General features: G+C 35.7%; 1 protein-coding gene across 7 annotated transcripts in view; it reads right to left on the bottom strand.

The window, feature by feature from the left end:
• Positions 1-18,253, bottom strand: part of SLC2A13 (solute carrier family 2 member 13) — a 351,057-nt gene that overhangs the window by 294,832 nt on the left and 37,972 nt on the right. The gene's annotated exons all lie outside the window — the stretch shown is intronic.

Consider the following 18,253-nt stretch of genomic DNA (forward strand, 5'->3'; position numbering starts at 1 on the left):
ACAAGTCAAACCATTAAGTCTCAGAACTAGATACTAATTTCCACCAATGTTGTTTGCTACTGTAGTGCCTGTCAATAATCTTACGACTTTGAGTTTCATAGAATAATAAGCATGTGCTAATAGACACAGTATTAACAGTCTTCACAATTAAATCATCACCTAAGCAGCTGAAGTTTCCATTTGACTGCTAATCAATTTAATAACACAGACCACCCTGAAATGCCCTCATCTAACTTGGAAAGAGGAAACAAACATCTGCTGCAAATGTTGACACGGGATTTGTATATTCTCTTTAGTTCTTTTACTATTAGAACATCTCAAACTTTCATAATTCAAACAATAATTTACAACTTGGATTTCTTTTTCTGCTATGGTCTGACTATAAACAGGAATTTGGTTGTTCTCTTTAGACAGAGATCTTTATTTAGCCATGTAGCCCCAGATTTGAGCATGGGAAATCAGGACTGTGGTTTTAGGCAACACATGCTCATAAAAAACACATAGATTTTACTTGACAGAAATGCAGGTATGTCCTCAGACCCTGATAAAGTTCGATTATTTAAAACAAACACCAGAGCTTTGAAAGTAATACGTACTGACAAAGGGTAAAGATTGAAGACAGACTCATTGGATTTGGAGTTGGAAAGAACCATGAAAGACCTTCTGTCCAATGAGTGCTCTGGCTGACTTAACACTGCAACAACTACCTACATTCAGCAGATATTTTATAGGGACTAATAATCTTATTTAATCCTCAGGATATCCCTTTAAAGGGCATGTAATTATCTCCATTTTTCATACCTCAGGTCACATGATGAGTAGGTAGAAGAATCAGAATTTAAAGCAGACAGCAAGATTCTAAAACCCAATTTTGATGGCACAAACTATATTGACGGATCATCATAAGTAAGGGAAGGCTCTGGAACCAGTGGGTTTCAATTCCAGCCTTGCCACTTATCAGCTGGTTAAGTTTGGACAACTTACTTGACTTTTCTGGGTCTAAAGTTCCTCATCTATAAAATAGGAAGAATAAAAGTAACTACTTCATAGGAGTTGAGAGGATTCAATGAGTTAAGTAAAGCACTTAAAATTGTGCCTGGCTTACAGAAGGTAGTCAATAAGATCAGCAATTATTTTTATTCTTATTATCATCTCTAGTTATGAGGCATCCCAATTCTTTCTATAGTAGGTGACAGGATTATAAGGATGAGTACAAACAAATAAAATAGGGTCCCTGCTATGAAGGAAAGTACACACAAGACCTACTCACAAAAGCATACAATCAAGTAAATAACTTCAAAATAACATGGTAAGGGTCATAATAAAGCTATACACTGGATTCTACTGTGGCAAGCTGACAATGACCAGGTGGTAGTTGGAAAGGTTGGGCAGACAATTCTGCACAGAACATGAGCTTAAATCTTTATATGAAATGACACGGGGTTTTCTGAGAGATAAATAGAAAATGTGAGGCGGAATATGTGTGCAGATAAGATGGGAGAGACAGAGGGCGCCTAAGTCATGGAAGCAGCATCCATTAATCAGTGAGTATTCATCAGACACTGGATCTGAGCTGGGCACTGTGTTTAGCACTTTGGAGATAGTGCTGTAGGAGAGAGACATGAGCTCTGTTCTCGTGGAGCTTAGGGTCTGCTAGTCGAGTGGGATGGGTATTGCCAAAGGGGAAGTGTGAGGAACATCAGACTATAGCAAAGGGACCGGCCCAGCCTGAAGAGTCAGAGGGGCCTTGGATAGAAGTCATATTTAAGCTGAGATGTAGTGAATAAGTAAGTGAGAGTAGGTTGGAGATAGGGGAGAGTTGGGAGGTACTGCAGACAATCAGATCAGCTTAGGTAAGGGCCTTCAGGCAGGACGAAAAGCATCCTGCTGAGGAAGGGGTGGCGGACTACTTTTAGAGAAATGGGCAAGGATCAACCACAGTGTAAAGGATCTTAAAGGCCAAATTAAGGGCTTAGTGCGCAGAAGCCTCTGAATAGGGTAGAAGAGGAAGATGCATGATCAGGTTCAATGATCAGGATCAACTAGATCATTCTAGTTGGAGTACGGAAAATTGATTGCAGGGAAGCAACACGTACAGTGGCAGCAATGGTGATGGACTGAAATGAAGAGATTTGAGAATTATGTCTTTGGTATCTAGGTTAAAGAGAATATGAATAGGATGTGAAGGATAAAGAGAGAAGGAAGCTGAGGATGATGTTTTGATGTCAGGAAAAAGCAACTAGGAGCATGATGGGCACTTTGTACAAAGATAGGGAGGGAAAAAATGAAGTTTGAGTACAAGATAATAAGGTCAGGTCATAGATGGAATTGAGTCAGAGGCACTTTGTGAAATATAGAAGTAGATAGTAAGTGGCCTGCTTGATGGTGTGCTGGGAATACAGATTATTTACATGTGAGTGGTCCCACCCCCTCCCTGTTTCCCCTACCCAATAAGGTCTTCGCCAGAATAACCTGTCTCCTCCTTTATCCTCAAGGGAGAATTTGGTCTTTGTCAGTCTAGTTCTTGAGCTTTTATCATGCTAAGCAAAAAAAGGGTGGAGAAAAGAAAACATGGGCAAATCATGAGGTATATTGGGAGAAGTTAAGACCAAAAAAGACAAAAAACAGTTGTGAGTGAGAGTCTCGGGGTGAGTCTGGGGAAAATGGGAGCCTGTAACAAAGGGAGTAACCCTTGAGCAGGGAAGTGAGGAGATGACAGCGATTTTAAGAAATAATGCTGATTTGTAAGCTACATGCTATTATATTCTTCAAGAGAAATAAGTTAAGAGCAGTTCTGCCTTACTATTGCTTTTAGTTGCTGGACTATATTTCTTCAAATGCAACATCAAACTGACATTCGGCCAGGTAGGGCTTGGGAGTTACACAACTAGGTGGAGCTCAAAGGATGGTACTATGGGGACAATGCGCATAACTGAAACTACGGAAATGGATAAGATCACTCAATGGCATACGAGAAGAATGCTTAGAATAGAATCCTGAAACAGTCCAACAATTAAGGGACTAGGAGGGGGAACTGAGAAGGTTCATGACGAGCAAATATCTACCTTACCTTTCAATACTATGTTATTTTTAAAGGCTTTCTATGTTATCATTTTGTCTTATCATGTAAAATCATCCTATCAGGCTGGGCGCAGTTTGTTCATGCCTATAATCCCAGCACTTTGGGAGGCAGAGGCAGGTGGATCATGAGGTCAGGAGATTGAGACCATCCTGGCCAACATAGTGAAACCCTGTCTCTACTAAAATACAAAAAAATTAGCCAGGCATGGTGGCACATGCCTGTAATCCCAGCCACTCTGGAGGCTGAGGCAGGGGAATTGCTTGAACCCGGGAGGCGGAGGTTGCAGTGAGCCAAGATGGTACCACTGCACTATAGCCTGGCGACAGAGCAAAGACTCCATCTCAAAAAAAAAAAAAAAAAAAAAAATCCTATAAACAGGCTGGTGGAACTGATATAATTTATTATCCCCCTATGAAAGGTAATGATGCCCAGCCCCAGAGACAGATATAAAGAGATTTTCAGAAAGCCACATGGCAAGTTAATGTCAAAATGGGTCTCACAGATCTAGGTCCTCTAACCTTTGTAATGTGCCATTCAAGGGCTGGGTGTCATGCCTATGTGATCCTTTGGAAATGTCTTAGAAACATTTTATTTTTGACCTTCTTACTTTGACTAGCATACATAAACTTCTAGGGGCAAAAGAGTCTTCTCTCTTCCCTGCCACTATTGCCTGCTAAGTGACTTACTGCCACCAGACATCATGTTAAAGAGCTTGGAACAATTAGTAAGAAAAATGACAACTGAGTATGATTAATTGTATAATTTGGGACTAGGCAAGTTTAAACCTTAAAACCGCTTTATGAAACTGGGAAAGTAGGAGGATCCGTGCTCAGTCTACTCACATCTGCCCAATACGCACATGTTAGGCACAGGGCCTGTTAACAACTCACCTTGCTGTTAATAAAAGCAACCCATGCAAACTATAATTTATGGATTTCTAAACATGGAGCTCACTTGTGGAAAACCTTGAACATGAAGGCTTTGTCACCCCAAAATCTACTTTCCACTTTGGGAAAACAAATGGAATTTTGTCCCTCAACAAAGCTCATTATTCTACTTAAGAAGGGATGGTTAAGTAAAACTACTGCTTAACTTTAGAGTCTGTTTCAAATCACTATTATGTATTTGTGTAATTCAGCCCTTGATTTATATAAGCCACAGAAATATTCAAATAAATGAGCAAAAATTTCTCCTGTTATTTACCTAAAACCTGTTTTAAAGAAAGAAAATATATCAAGGCTCACATTTTTGCTCTGGTACTATAACTCAAAGATGATGATTTGAGATCTTCAAAATGAAGAGTTAGGTGCTTTAAAAATGAATGTAATGAATAATATTTAAATATGATTTAAATATTTAAAGTTCAGGAGAGTTCTATGAAGAGCTTTTGATTTCTTTCCTATTCTAATCACTAACCAAATAAAATAAAAGCCTGATAAAGAAAAAACAAGTTATTAATAGTCCATACTAAACTCACACATTGAAATTAACACAAGGAATATAATGGTATAAATTCCTATTAACAGCTTATTAGAGTAAACATAACCACAAAAATCCATGTTGGTGTTATTTCTAAATATTTTGAAAAAGCTCAGTTTCTTAGAAAATTTCCTACAAAATTATAAGATCTACATCAATGAACACTCATTATCGCACTTGGCTTGAGAAGTTTCACCAGAAAACTGCATCTCAGACACTGCAGTGCGACCGGATTCACACACTACCACACTGCCAAGCTGATTCACCATCTCAACAGCACAAAACGCTCTGGAGTGCAGAAGTTGGCTTTCAAAAACGGCTGGAAGCCCTTTTAAAGGCCTGAGTCAGAAGTATAAATAATTTCATAACCAAATACCATTAGAAAATCCTGTTGTGATAGATAAATACCCATGAATCACAGCTGTCTCTCAGCATGATAAGCCAGGCAACAACTAATTAGCTTCTTAGTAGCACATGAAGCTACCTTTTAATAATAATGCTTCTTGAACAAGAAGGATTATGATGTTCTAATTTCATTTTGCAAATTATTGCTTTATCATCTCTAAAGAAATACTTTTAATAAAAAGAAACAGAGTCTGTCAAAGGAATCAGAATCCCTCGCTGTGGTTGTTTTGGTTTGGCTGTCTTGCTCAGGGCTGATATGTTTACATTTTTTCCAAACAGTCAAGTATCTATGGTTACCAGGTTGTTAACAATTTAGAATTCAGTTTCTACTTTTTTCTAATAAGGCTTAAGACACTCAGAAAAGATGCTGGGAAACTTCAAAGTGTACAAAATACCAACATAAAATGCCTGTAACAGAAGAGTCAGGTTATAAGAAAGATTCTCTCTGTGGAGATAACTAGCAACGTCAATGGTCTACAAACTTAAAGAGCTCTTAACATAGTATCACAAACATGTCATCAGCCTTTCAACTCAGTGAAGTCTCCCATGGCTAAAATGACCACTTCTGTTAGATTGCTTGAGAATCTTCTATCTGTCTATGTCCTTTTTCACTGGTAACATCCCAGTAGAGCCTGTATCACGTTTGTCTCTCCAAGCAGGACTACAAGCCTGTTAATGGAATGATCAGATTTCACATATCTTCTGTACTATAAGTTGCCTAAGTGTCAAGCCTAAGGGCGTAGACTAAGTTATTGATTAATAAAAAGTTATTGATTAGTACTATGGAATGCATACACAAAACTATATTCTTTTAAACTAGTGTTAACTGATTGGTTTTAACTGATTGGTTTCCCTAATGATATTCATTAGGGAAAATTTGGAAACTACAGGTAAGAAGCAAAGTGAATAAAAATCGCCTCTAATCACTCATAGATAACCACTGTTTAAATCTGTTTATAACTGTCAGTATTTTTTTCTACAAATCTATAGTTTTCACTCATACAGCATTTTCCTTCTCTTTAAAATATTCTTTTCCAAAAATGGTCTCAAACTTCCTACATAAGCTAGGCAGGTACCACAAATATAGGAGACCAACTGAGTGGAAGATATTAAGCTGCTTGCATAACAACTAAGGTACAACACACTCCACAGGCCAAAAAAAACAAACAAAAAAAAAACAAAACAAACAACAAAAAAAAACACCAGCCAAACAAAACACATCTCTACAGAGCCACATACAACAAACCCTGGTTTGGCACCCTTATAGTACAAAATCATTTTAAATAACAGTATAATATTCCAATACTAAGATATAACTTATGTAACCATTCCCTTCTTATTCCATACTAGATTCTTACATACACATTAGAATGGGAAGCCTGTAACTTTCAGATACTGGAAATAAGTTCTGCTTTTTGGAGAGAGTATTCATCAATTAAATTAAGTTTAAGAATAGTAGTGTTATAAAGAGAACAACACTGGATGAGAAAGGCCAGGGAAAAACACAGAGAAAGAAAGAATTTCTTGACTGGAAGTGATGGCAAAATAAGAAATTGATATTCAAGAAATTTCCTAAAATAGATTTAAGAGGTTATAAAAACATGGGAAAGATCACTGTATGAAGTGCTACATAAGCAGAAGCAGTATGCATTTCCACCTGAAAAGTGGAATGCACAAAGGTTAATAAGAAATCAATATGCTTTCCCCAAGGCAGTGAATTTAACAAGCAACAGCATAAGTGGTGTTTTGTCATATTTAACTCTATGTGACATCTAGAGGCAAATGTTCTAAGAACAACAGTGTGGCCTAAATCAGAGCTAAAAGGACGTGAATCACCTGAATACAGATGATAATTGCATAGGTGTCAATGAAATGCACAAGGAATATGTACAGAATATGACTAGCCCAGGACTAGAATTTAGCTATAGAAATGCTCATACAATAAAGGGCTGAGGAGTAAAATAGAATAAACTATTGAAGGAAATACTAGAGTTGCAAAATAATAAATGAACACAGTCTCCACCATTTTTTCAAGCTGTTCTTTTTATAAGATGATTTGACCTTGCCTAAAAAGCAGAACCCGGGAGGTGGAGCTTGCAGTGAGTCGAGATCGCGCCATTGCACTGCAGCCTGGGTGACAGAGCGAGACTTCGTGTCAAAAAACAAAACAAAACAAACAAACAAAAAAAGCAGAAACGAAGAGCCATGAGGAGGGAATCAAATAAAAAGACAATAGACTAAAATTAAATAGGGAAATGAGTAGCATAAGGAAGGACTGTAAAAACACACGAATTTAATAGCAGAATACATAATAATAACAAAAGTAAACCCCATACTGGACACAGTAAAGAGTAGAAATGAAGCTGTGTGAAGTCTGAATCAGAAGTATAGAACATCAATTTAATATGCTCTCCATGAGCAGAAAGCAAAGGAAATTGCAATGATAAAAGATATTGTTGAAAAAGAAACCATTATAAGAAAAATAAATGAACTCAGGTATGGGTGCTAAAGCTGGAAACATCCTATACAATTTTCTGATTTGCAAGGTTAATAAAAATTGATTTAAAAAAAATTTATGGGTGGGGCAGGAAGAAAAAACAGCTTGTCCATAAAGTAATAAAAAGTAGGTAATATGAAATGACATAGAGCAACAACTGCAGATATTTGAGGAAAAATTATTGTGACTCGAGTGTTTTATTTAATATTTTACTTAATTTGGACTACAGAAATCCAGGTAAATGGGTACACTGCTGAGCGTTTCCTTAACCATTTTTCCAGTGGTTCTATTTTCTTAGTTCTAAGTAACATATTTCTTGAGCTACACTGATAGAATTTCTTGACCTCTCTGATATCAACTTCAAAGCATTAACTGGTCTTTTTCTGTTCTAGCATGTGATAACAATGGCTAAGAATTTTACGCAGTTGGAACACTATGCCTGAATAATTTTTACACAAAAATTTCTGCTTATTTTTTCAACTTTCAAAGAAGCACAGTTTATAGGGCAACATAATGTCCACCTTAATTACCAAAGATCTCTGTTAATTCTTTCCTGTGTCTGAAACTTAGACTGAATGGACCTGGCCTTTGAATTTTTAAGTGGTAAAAATAATAAAAGCCACCCACCAACGGATATTATCTTCATCAACCACTTACAATATTATCTTTCCATCTAGGGCATACAAATGTCCCTATGCTGCTTACACTTGAAAATTTCTCTCCAGATAGATAGATAGATAGATAGATAGATAGATAGATAGATAGATAGATTGATTTACTATATATATTTTACTATAAATATATAGTAAAAACTTAACGAAGTAAACATGCAGAAGAAAAAGGCATGTTTTTAAGATCTACAAACAATGTCACATAACTTGTTTTCCCAGGGTCTTCGATGATAATCCATGGCAATCATAGTCCTCTAACTATAGTCAGTTTTCCAATGTTTGAGGAAAAACACAGCCAAATTAACCTTCACTTTCCCTTATTTTATAACTATAAAATAGGGAATTATTTTCTACATGCATACCTTTTGCACTTGATCTTCCAAGATACTTTTAAATTAGAAAATAGAAAAGTTTGTTACAGAGCAATGAGAAGAATTAGAAATTGCATTCCTAAAATGAAACAAAAAGTCTGTTTTTTGGAGCTCTAGTTCTGTATCACCTGGCTTTCATCATAAAGCTAGATCTCACTAAAGATAAAAGGGAATGGACTGAAAAAAAAGAGAGGGAACGTCATTTGATTCTCTTTACTATGCAGCCAAAATTATTTTAATGGACTTAATCAATTTCATATTTTGTTCTTCAGTAAACCAGCTATATACATGTAACTCCAAATTGCTTAGTTCTTTGAAATGGCAGGCACTAATTATGGTGAAACATTTTACAACATTTGAACAAACTTTTTCCTGTAGGGCTGAAAAAGATTATATAGCTACCTAACATTTACGAAGGGTGATAAGCAAGATGCCGTAACTATGGCTCATAATATTCTGAGAAACAGACTCTACATTATATGACAAACACTTCATGAACGAGTCAGATGACTGTGAAAAGGGCAGTATCATCTCTCTTAGGCTGGCTTTAGAACAAGTTGATTAAAATAAACCCATGTATTACTCTCCATGGCTAATAAACATCTTTTCACTCTACTTGTAGATCTAGTGGCAGCTGTGACTCAGCCAACAGAGCCTAGCTCTTGTACAAATTAGCTGGCATGAATGCTGGCATTATCACTTATTTCTGCTGCAGTAACTCTGAGACACTGACACAGCCAGAATAGAGGTAGTGATTTTCTTTGACATATGATGAGGTAATATAACTTTTGGCACTGCTGCTACTCAATGATTTGATTGTAAAACACCTAGCTCCATTGTCTTATCCCTTTTTATTAGATTTTTACAAACTCTCCATCTACAAGTATGCTAATGGCACATTTCAATACATTTCATTTATACAGAGTCAATACCCTATGCCAGAGGAGACAGAGGAAGTAGATGGAAAACTGGATGACAGATAGATAAGATAGACATATAGATAGATAAAACAGATACACATTGAGTATGGAAAACCTTAAACTATTTTTCCTCTGCTCTCACACCACAACAATCAACTTCTGACCAATCAGCTTCATGCTGGTGTTCCCAAACTCCCACTTTAGGTTTGATTTCTTTGCTAGAGCAGCTCACAGAACTCAGGGAAAGTTGTTTACTGGTTTGTTCTAAAGGATATGATGAAGGATATAGATGAAGAAATACATAGGACAATGTATGGGGAAGGAGCACGGAGCTTCCATGCCCTTCCTGAATGTGCCACCCTCCAGGAACCTCCATGTGTTCAGCTAGTTTCCTGGGCCTTTTATGGAGACTTCATTGAAAAGGCATGATTGAAGCATAGATAACCATATCAAAATGTGATCGGACAAAAAGGGTATGACCTTACACTAACAGAATGAATGAGGAAACCCAGAAAGGCCTGTTAGATTCTTCTTGACCCTTCTGTGTGGCATTCCTTCCTCCAAGGGTATAGGGAGGATGCTCTCTGGACTGGGGGCCTTATAATCCACAATGGAAGATTAGAGTCCTGTCTTGGACAGTGAAAGGAGATCAAGAGAAGGCCAGGGAGAGAGAGATTCTGTTTCCTGATCCTACTTCTGGGGCCCAAAGGGCCCCAATATTATTTTAAAAAGACTGTAACAAAGGTCTATGGGAGTTGTAAGCCAGAAATTGTGGATGAAAATCTATATTAATGGACGGATGGATGGATGGATGCATGGATGGATGGATGGATGGATGGATGGATGCATCGATGGACAGACAGCTCATATCACAGACATATAGTAACACAGACATATAGACAGATGTGGAAGGATGATGAATGGATGACAGGTAAATAACATATGATAGGTATATGGCTAAAGATAATTTACATTCATTTTCAAAGGGCTGACTTTAACTTGATGAAAACTACTTAAATAAGTAGCAGTAAATGCAAAAACTTGAAAACCTTCTTTTGTTACATTTGTCATGGCAAGTTGTAAAGGATCCCCAAAATCCTAAGGTTTTCTTTCTTTAGGTATGTTCAACCTTAAGCTTGTGTGTTTATCTTCATACTTATGGAAAGGGATCAGAAATCAACGCAGAAAGGAAAATTCCCATGTACACTGGGTTGTTTTTTTGCTTTAGCTTTTGTTTTTGTTTTAAATACAAAAGTAGGAAACAAGAAATAATCGCTTTACTTTGGGCATACTCAATATTCTCACTGCTGCTAGAATTTCTTTATTAAACCACAGCTGACTTTTCAACAGTAACAATGGAACCCAGAAAACAGTAAAATAGTATCCTCATTGCACAATCAACTTAGTTTCTAGTCCAACAGAAAAAAGTATCTTTCAAGAACAAGGGCAAAATTCCTAAATAAGGAAATTCTGAAAGTGTATTTTAGATAAACAGTGATCCCAAATGGATAGTGCAAGAATAAAGATGCAGGAAGAAATCAAGAGCATAGAAAATGATAAAGATGTAGAAAATAAATTTTAAAGTCATTAACAGTTATCTTGTGGTGCATAAATGCAAGCTCAAGAGAAGAGAATCAAAAGACATGACAACAATAGAACTAAAATTGGGAGAAGGTTAAAGAAAGTTAATGTGCTTTAAGTTGCATATATTATTCAGAATAAAGATAAAGATATTATGTAACTTCAGATTTTGTTATGTTAAATATGTATGAGTAAAATTTCAGTGGCAACTACTAAAAATACATGCAAATACAACTTCCAAACTACTTGAGAAAAAATTGTATGAAAAAATATATATACACACACAAGCAAGGCAATTCAAAAAGGCAAAAAGGAGAGAAGCAGCAGCATAAATAAGCTGGGAAAGAAAAGGCAACAGAAAATGGTAGATCTAATACATATAAATGAATCAAATGTACCAAGTAAAAAGAAGGGCAATCAGTCTGGACTTAAAATTTATACTTTAGTCTTGTGCAGGAAACATAACTTAAAATGATAGGAACAAGACTAAAAGCAAAAGGATAAAAAACAAACAGAGAAAAGTCTAAACAAAAGAAAGTGAAGATAGCCATATTAATCCAGACAACATAAACATTGAGGCAAAAAACATAACTAGAAATATAGAGGGTCATTCTGGGAAAGAAACACAATCAAAAATAATACAAAGTTCTAAAGGTACAGTGTAACAACTATGTACACAGCATTTACATTCTATTAGGCACGGCAAGTAATCTAGAGATGATTTAAGGTACACTGAAGCATAGGTGTTGGACATATGCCAATACTATACCATTTTATACAAGGGAATTGAACGTCCACAGAATTTGGTGTCCACACAAGTGGGGTCGTGAACCCAATCCCCCATGAACATCAAAAGATGACTGTACTTTCCAAATTGACATACAGATTTAATACAGTTGACATCAAAACCCAAATGAGTTTGTGGGGGTTTTCAAATTTGACAATCCAAAAAAAAAAAAAGGAAATTTAAAAGTTGATCCTTGCTGGAAGGACAATGGGCCAAGATTAGTCACTACTCTTGAAAAATAAAGGAGGACTTCTTCCCCATATCGAGATTTATTATATGCTACTATAATAAACACAGTATATACAGAAAAAGAAAGGCCATTAGAACAGAATAGAAAACCCAGAATGAGACACACCCACACATCAGCCCTTGACATACAACAGAACAGCTACTGTAGATCAGGGGGGAAAGATGGACCTTTTAATAAATGGTGGTGAGACAACTGGGTATCCATGTGTAAAAAAATAAAATTGAACCCCTACTTCTTATTACATACAAAAGTCAATTGTTAAAAATTGATGTGTTAAAAAATACATACCAAAAATAAGCTTATTAAGTTTTTAAGAGATCAGATAGGTGGTCTTGTGAGGCTACAGTTTTATAATGAGAAATCCTGCAATCTTCAATTTAATCTGCCCTAGCTGATGGTAGAGGATAGTCCCCTGAGCAGAAATCAAGATTATTATTCATGAAAAAAACTAAATTTCTTACTTTCTTATTTTTGTAGCTTCAGGGGAAAAAAAAATCCCAAAACCTCAAAAGATCCATCACTTGTGAACATGGATACTGATGTAAAGAAGTACTAATTATTTGCTCATAATGCAAAACAGAAAAAAAAGCATATATATCTGAGGACTATCAGGAAAAAATAGAAGAAGACGTTTGTAACTTAAAACATCAACTCTCTAAGATATTTTAGGAGTACTTTCAGCAGAGAAATCAATGTCTAAACTAAGTTTTACTGCATTGTATAAGCTTCCATATTTCTAGAAGAAAATTATACTGAGTTTCCATGTTTAAAAGAAAAGTAATAAGCTCTTGGAAAAAAAATTAAAGGGTTTACTATAAACATCCAAATTAAAGTTGTAGGAGAAAATTTTCCTCAAATCTTCGAGGGTGACATTAACATTAATTATGCTCTAAATTTAGAGGAAAGTGTTCCTTTTGAAAGACTGATTTACTACCCTGCTTTATCTATCTTTATGAGAACTTGGTGATGGAAGAATAAGGAGCCATTATAGCTCACATTTTAAGTGACATTGACCAAAAAAGTTAATAGCAAGCTAGCCACTATAAATACCATTTTTCTGGTATCTATTTTACAAGTTGTTTTATATAGCTACCCCTTCATTAATGCTTCTATAAATATCATTTATCCAGCATCTATTTTTACAAGTTATTTTATATAGATACCCCTTCATTAATGATTCTATTAATACCATTTTCCGGTATCTATTTTACAACTTATTTTATATAGATACGCCCTCATTAATGCCTCCAATCAACTTTTTGTTTTATCCCTAGAAATGGGACAAATCCATACATTTCAATAACTAAAAATCTCCCAGTGAAGTTTATTTGTCAGTTACTGATTATTCCACAACTTGTGACATTTCCGTTTTGAAGATAAAGGATAGACAGAAAAACCAGTTACAGGACTACTTTCTTTCACAAGGAGTGAAAGAAACTTTCACAAACAACCTGCCCCAATATTTACTTGAAATCCAAATTAGTTTTCCTTTGACAGACAGGGGAACAAGGAGATATTCCTGCCAACAATTCATCGAAGCATAATGCCTACATCTAAATTAGTAAAAAAAAAAAACTGAAGAAAAAAAAAAAGCAGCTGCTATGTCTCTATTCAGAATCACACAGCAGCTGTGAAAGCAGTTTCATTCTTCCACTTCCAAGTCAATGCATCAAAACCCTTGCCCAGAAGTGTGCCAGCAACTACCACACTAATTGCAAAATTGCCATAGCAATGAAATGACAATAGCCATGCACGTTCATTTGGATGACCAAGCCGGGGCTATTTATAACCGGAAGAATGACTCCAACAAGAAAGTCATAGAGGACGGACTAATTAAGGTGTGCAAATCCAAATATGTTAAAGACTTGACTTCATGTTTTATTCAGCTTACCCCAGAAAAATGTTGACTATAATCTCATTAACTATTTTTTACTTTTTAAAAAAACCAAACATCAGTTCTTACACAAAATATATCAAACTTCGAATTATTTTTCTCCAGTGATTTTTGTATGAGAATTCTTCAGTACCAATTATAAATATCATTTAAAATATAAAATATATGGCCAGGCATGGTGACTCATGCCTGTAATCCCAGCACTTTCAGAGGCCAAGATGAGAGGATCGCTTCAAGCCAGGAGTTTGAGATCAGCCTGGGCAACACAGTAAGAACCTGTCTGTATAAAACATTTTTTAAAATTAGCCAAGCACAGTGGGGCACACCTGTGATCCCAGCTACTCAGGCAGCTGTGTCAGGATGATCACTTGAGTCCGCAAGTTCAAGGCTGCAGTGAGCTATAATCGCTCCACTGTACTCCAGCCTGGGTGACAAAGAGAGAGTGCCCTGTCTCTAAAATATATATATTATATTATGTGTATTGTGTATACATATATATTAATATGTATACTCACGCATACATACACACATACCCTTAATCCATTTGTCACAAGAAAGTGGACTTAACTTTTTAACATATAAGTTTCAAAAATAAATAGTAAACATTATTTTGATATATTTCAATGTAAATAAAAATACCTAATATGGAGTCATTATTTATTGATAAAAGAAGGAAAGAATAAAAATGACAATAATCTCTGAAATAGACTAACAGACTCCCACAGTGCAAGGAAATTCTTTTTAAAATCAAGGGAACTTCATTCCAAGTAAGTGTCCCACAGTGTTCTCCTGCCTTCTTAAAATTACCAAAATCAGAATCCTTCACAGGCAAGCTACATCTCATAGGAAAAGCTCAGTAGACTGACTTTCCACCATAACAAATAGAGCAAAATATTTCATCAAAATTGTTACTGTTTCCATCAAGGATGCTGTTCAAGGCTATCACAAAAGACTAAGTATTAGTGGTGAGAAGCAACAGCAAAAATCACAGTGAATCATTAGTTATAGTACTAGAAATCCTGCAAAAACCTGTAACTGATGGTTAATTAATTAAATCAAACCTTATCAAATAAAAATTCAATCTAAAAATTGATCATTTCAAAGAAAAATTATTTTTTCTTAAAACTGAATAATACTGATTAAAAGGAGCATTTAAAAACTAAATATTGATATCCTTAAGTGATGCAGCAAAACAATCCCAGTTTTTTTATTTCTAATTCGTTCAGCAAATACTGTATATACTGATACCAGAAAGTTATACTTATCTTGAAAAGCTTAAATTTTAGATACTAAAAAAATGAGATAGAACAGCAATATTAAAGTGAGATCAGAAAGCAAAATGAAGGTAACTCCAGTCCACAGGAGGCTACCTGAACAGGAATATCGACATGAAAATAAATTGCTGAGAGTACACAATAATTATGGATTATTCTGGCTGTGTTAATAACTTACTCAAATCTCTCTGCTACCCTGTACAATCTGCCCTTTTATAAACTATTGTTGCCAGGCATGGTGGCTCACACCTATCTTATAATCCCAACACTTTGGAAAGCCAAGGCAGAAGGATTGCCTGAGCTCAGGAGTTCCAGACCAGCCTGGGCAACATAGTGAAACCTCATCTTTACAAGAAAAAAAAAAAAAACTAGCTGGGCATGGTAGTGCATGCCTGTAGTCCTAGCTACTCAGGAGGCTGAGGCAAGAGGATCACTTGAGCCCAGGAGGTCAAGGCTGCAGTGAGCTGTGATCATATCACTGCACTCCAGCCTGGGCAACAGAATGAGACTGTCTCAAACAAACAAACAAACAAAAATTATTAGCTGTCATCTAAGACTCTACAAATGTTCTATATGGCTTGGACACCTTATAACTTCTCTACCACAACCTGAAGTGACCCAAAGGGCCAATTATTTTCAGAGGATACAAATATTCTATTGTGATACTTTATTACAAAACATAACCACAATGGAGATAAGGTGAGTCAGGAGCTAAACAATAATTTCTTAAATACCTACCATGAGGCAGGTTTTACATAAGTGTTTTATTTCAAAGTCTCACAAAAGCACGTTGAAATAGTTATTGTTAGCCCCATTTTACAACCAGCTATAACATCACAAGTGTGACAAAACATCCAAGGTCACACAGCCAGTAAATGGCAAGACTGTCTAATCCTAATATTCATGTTTATGTGGCTAAACAGTCCCTCTAAAAGTATTTATACTTGGCACACTTTTCAAAAAGCTTTAGAAAACTTACACATTCAAAGCAACTTAAGAAACACACACATATTAAACAGAGCATCCTAATCGAAGTAACTAAATGTAGAGGTTTGAGATTAAATATTTATAAATTTAACTTTGAGTCCCTGGAACCTACCACTCTCTCCAGGCAAAGAGGTCAACCAGAAAGCTTCAGGCCTGCATCTCATGATGTATAATGCAATGAGTGAAAGAACAAACTGTACTGAGTATAACATTCAGTAAATGGCCCCAAAGCTAGCTATAAAACAAACCCACACATATTCTTGCTAGTTCTACTTATCTAAAACGTCACTATCCTAAAGGAAAATTGAGTAGTACATCAATGTCTGGTCAGAGAAATAACATGCACTTTTAAAGAAAGCGATAAAGCATTAAAGACTATCAGCTCCTTCAGACTCTGCCTAATAAATATTCACTAGGAAAAGATGTCCCACTATGTTCTAGAGGTAGAATTAAGATATAAATAAGCAATAATAATCCATCACTTATTCCGAAAATGTTTCACACATAACCAGAATAAAATGCCATGCCTACATATAAAATGTAAAATACAAGGAACTGAGTGATGTAGCTGGAGACAAAAAAGTACAGTTAATAAAAACACATAATTATGATGATGCATAATGTGGTAAGTGTACTCCTATGGATAAGAAAGACTCATGAGTTCATTCATAAGAGGCGGAAGATTGCTTTGGGTTTGTCAGGCAGTTTCATGAACTAAGCTTGCAAGTTAAAATGAAGTAAGTCAATGAAAGGAAAATTAAGTCTTCATGAAAAGATAACAGAGCCACATAACTATCAAAAGCTAAATCTCAAAGTTGACAAAAAGCTTTTTTTCTCAAATTATGAGATTTAAAAATCTTAAGGACTTAGTTTTACAATTCTTAGGGAAACTAATTTAAATAAATTCAAAGTAAATCATATATGTTATGTGGCATATAGACAGAACATGTTTGAATTTCAATAACGAACAATATTCGAGTTGCAGGTCTGCCACTTACACTTCATATGTAACCATGGGAAAATGACTTACCTGGTTCCCGGTGTACAAAACTGCAAATCGAGGGTGATACCAAGAGGCTTTAGGATTCAGTTAGCTAATGTACAGGATGCATGAGGAAAGCATAAGTGCTAGTTTACTATATAAATTCTTATTTATTTATTTTTAAGCAATAGGGTCCTTCGCTGTGCTCAGGCTGGAGTACAGTGGTGCAATCACAGGTCACTGCAGCCTTGAACCCCTGGGCTCAAGTGATCCTCCCACCTCAGCCTCCTGAGTAGATAGGGCTACAGTCACGTGCCACCACGCCTGGCTAATTTTTTAATTTTTTATTTTGGTAGAAATGGGGTCTCACTTTGTTGCTGTTGTTGATAATATATTTTGTATCTAAGAACCATGTTTATTTGAAAGAACTTTACTCTTTAGTAATAAAATGAGTATATTATTTAAACATAATAAACATGGTTAATATTGTTTCCAAATCCTTTTAAACCATTTTATTTATACAGACATGCTAATTCTATGCAATTAGTGTTAATTTCTAATATCATTCTGCTGTCTCCCTAAACATATAGCTTTCTACTCATTTTTGTCTTCATCATTCTACTAATACTAATTAGTATTACTTCTACACATCTATTCTGGACTGCAGAAATTACTAATTTATTACACATCTATTCAGGACTGCAGAAATATTAAAGCACATACAACTGCACGTTTCTTCTCTCTCCCCAAACTTTATATTAGTCAAAGAATATTCAGCATAAAATCCAATTTTTCTATTTACTTTTTCTCTTCTTTCTTCTTCACTGTTTAATCCCATAGACAGATTGCTTCCGGTGAAAATTGCTTATTCTTTTTTTCTTGTTGAAGAAAGGGTCTCACTCTGTCACCGAGGCTGGTGCACACTGATGCAATCTTGACTCACTGCAGCCTCGATTTCCTAGACTCAAGACATACTCCTGCCTCAGCCTCCTGAGTAGCTTGGGCAACGGGGAACCACTACCATGCCCAGCTATTTATTTTTCGTTTTATTTTTATAGAGACAGGGTCTCACT

The sequence above is a fragment of the Homo sapiens genome, chromosome 12 (assembly GCF_000001405.40).
Source record: "Homo sapiens chromosome 12, GRCh38.p14 Primary Assembly".
Classification (NCBI taxonomy): Eukaryota; Metazoa; Chordata; class Mammalia; order Primates; family Hominidae; genus Homo; species Homo sapiens.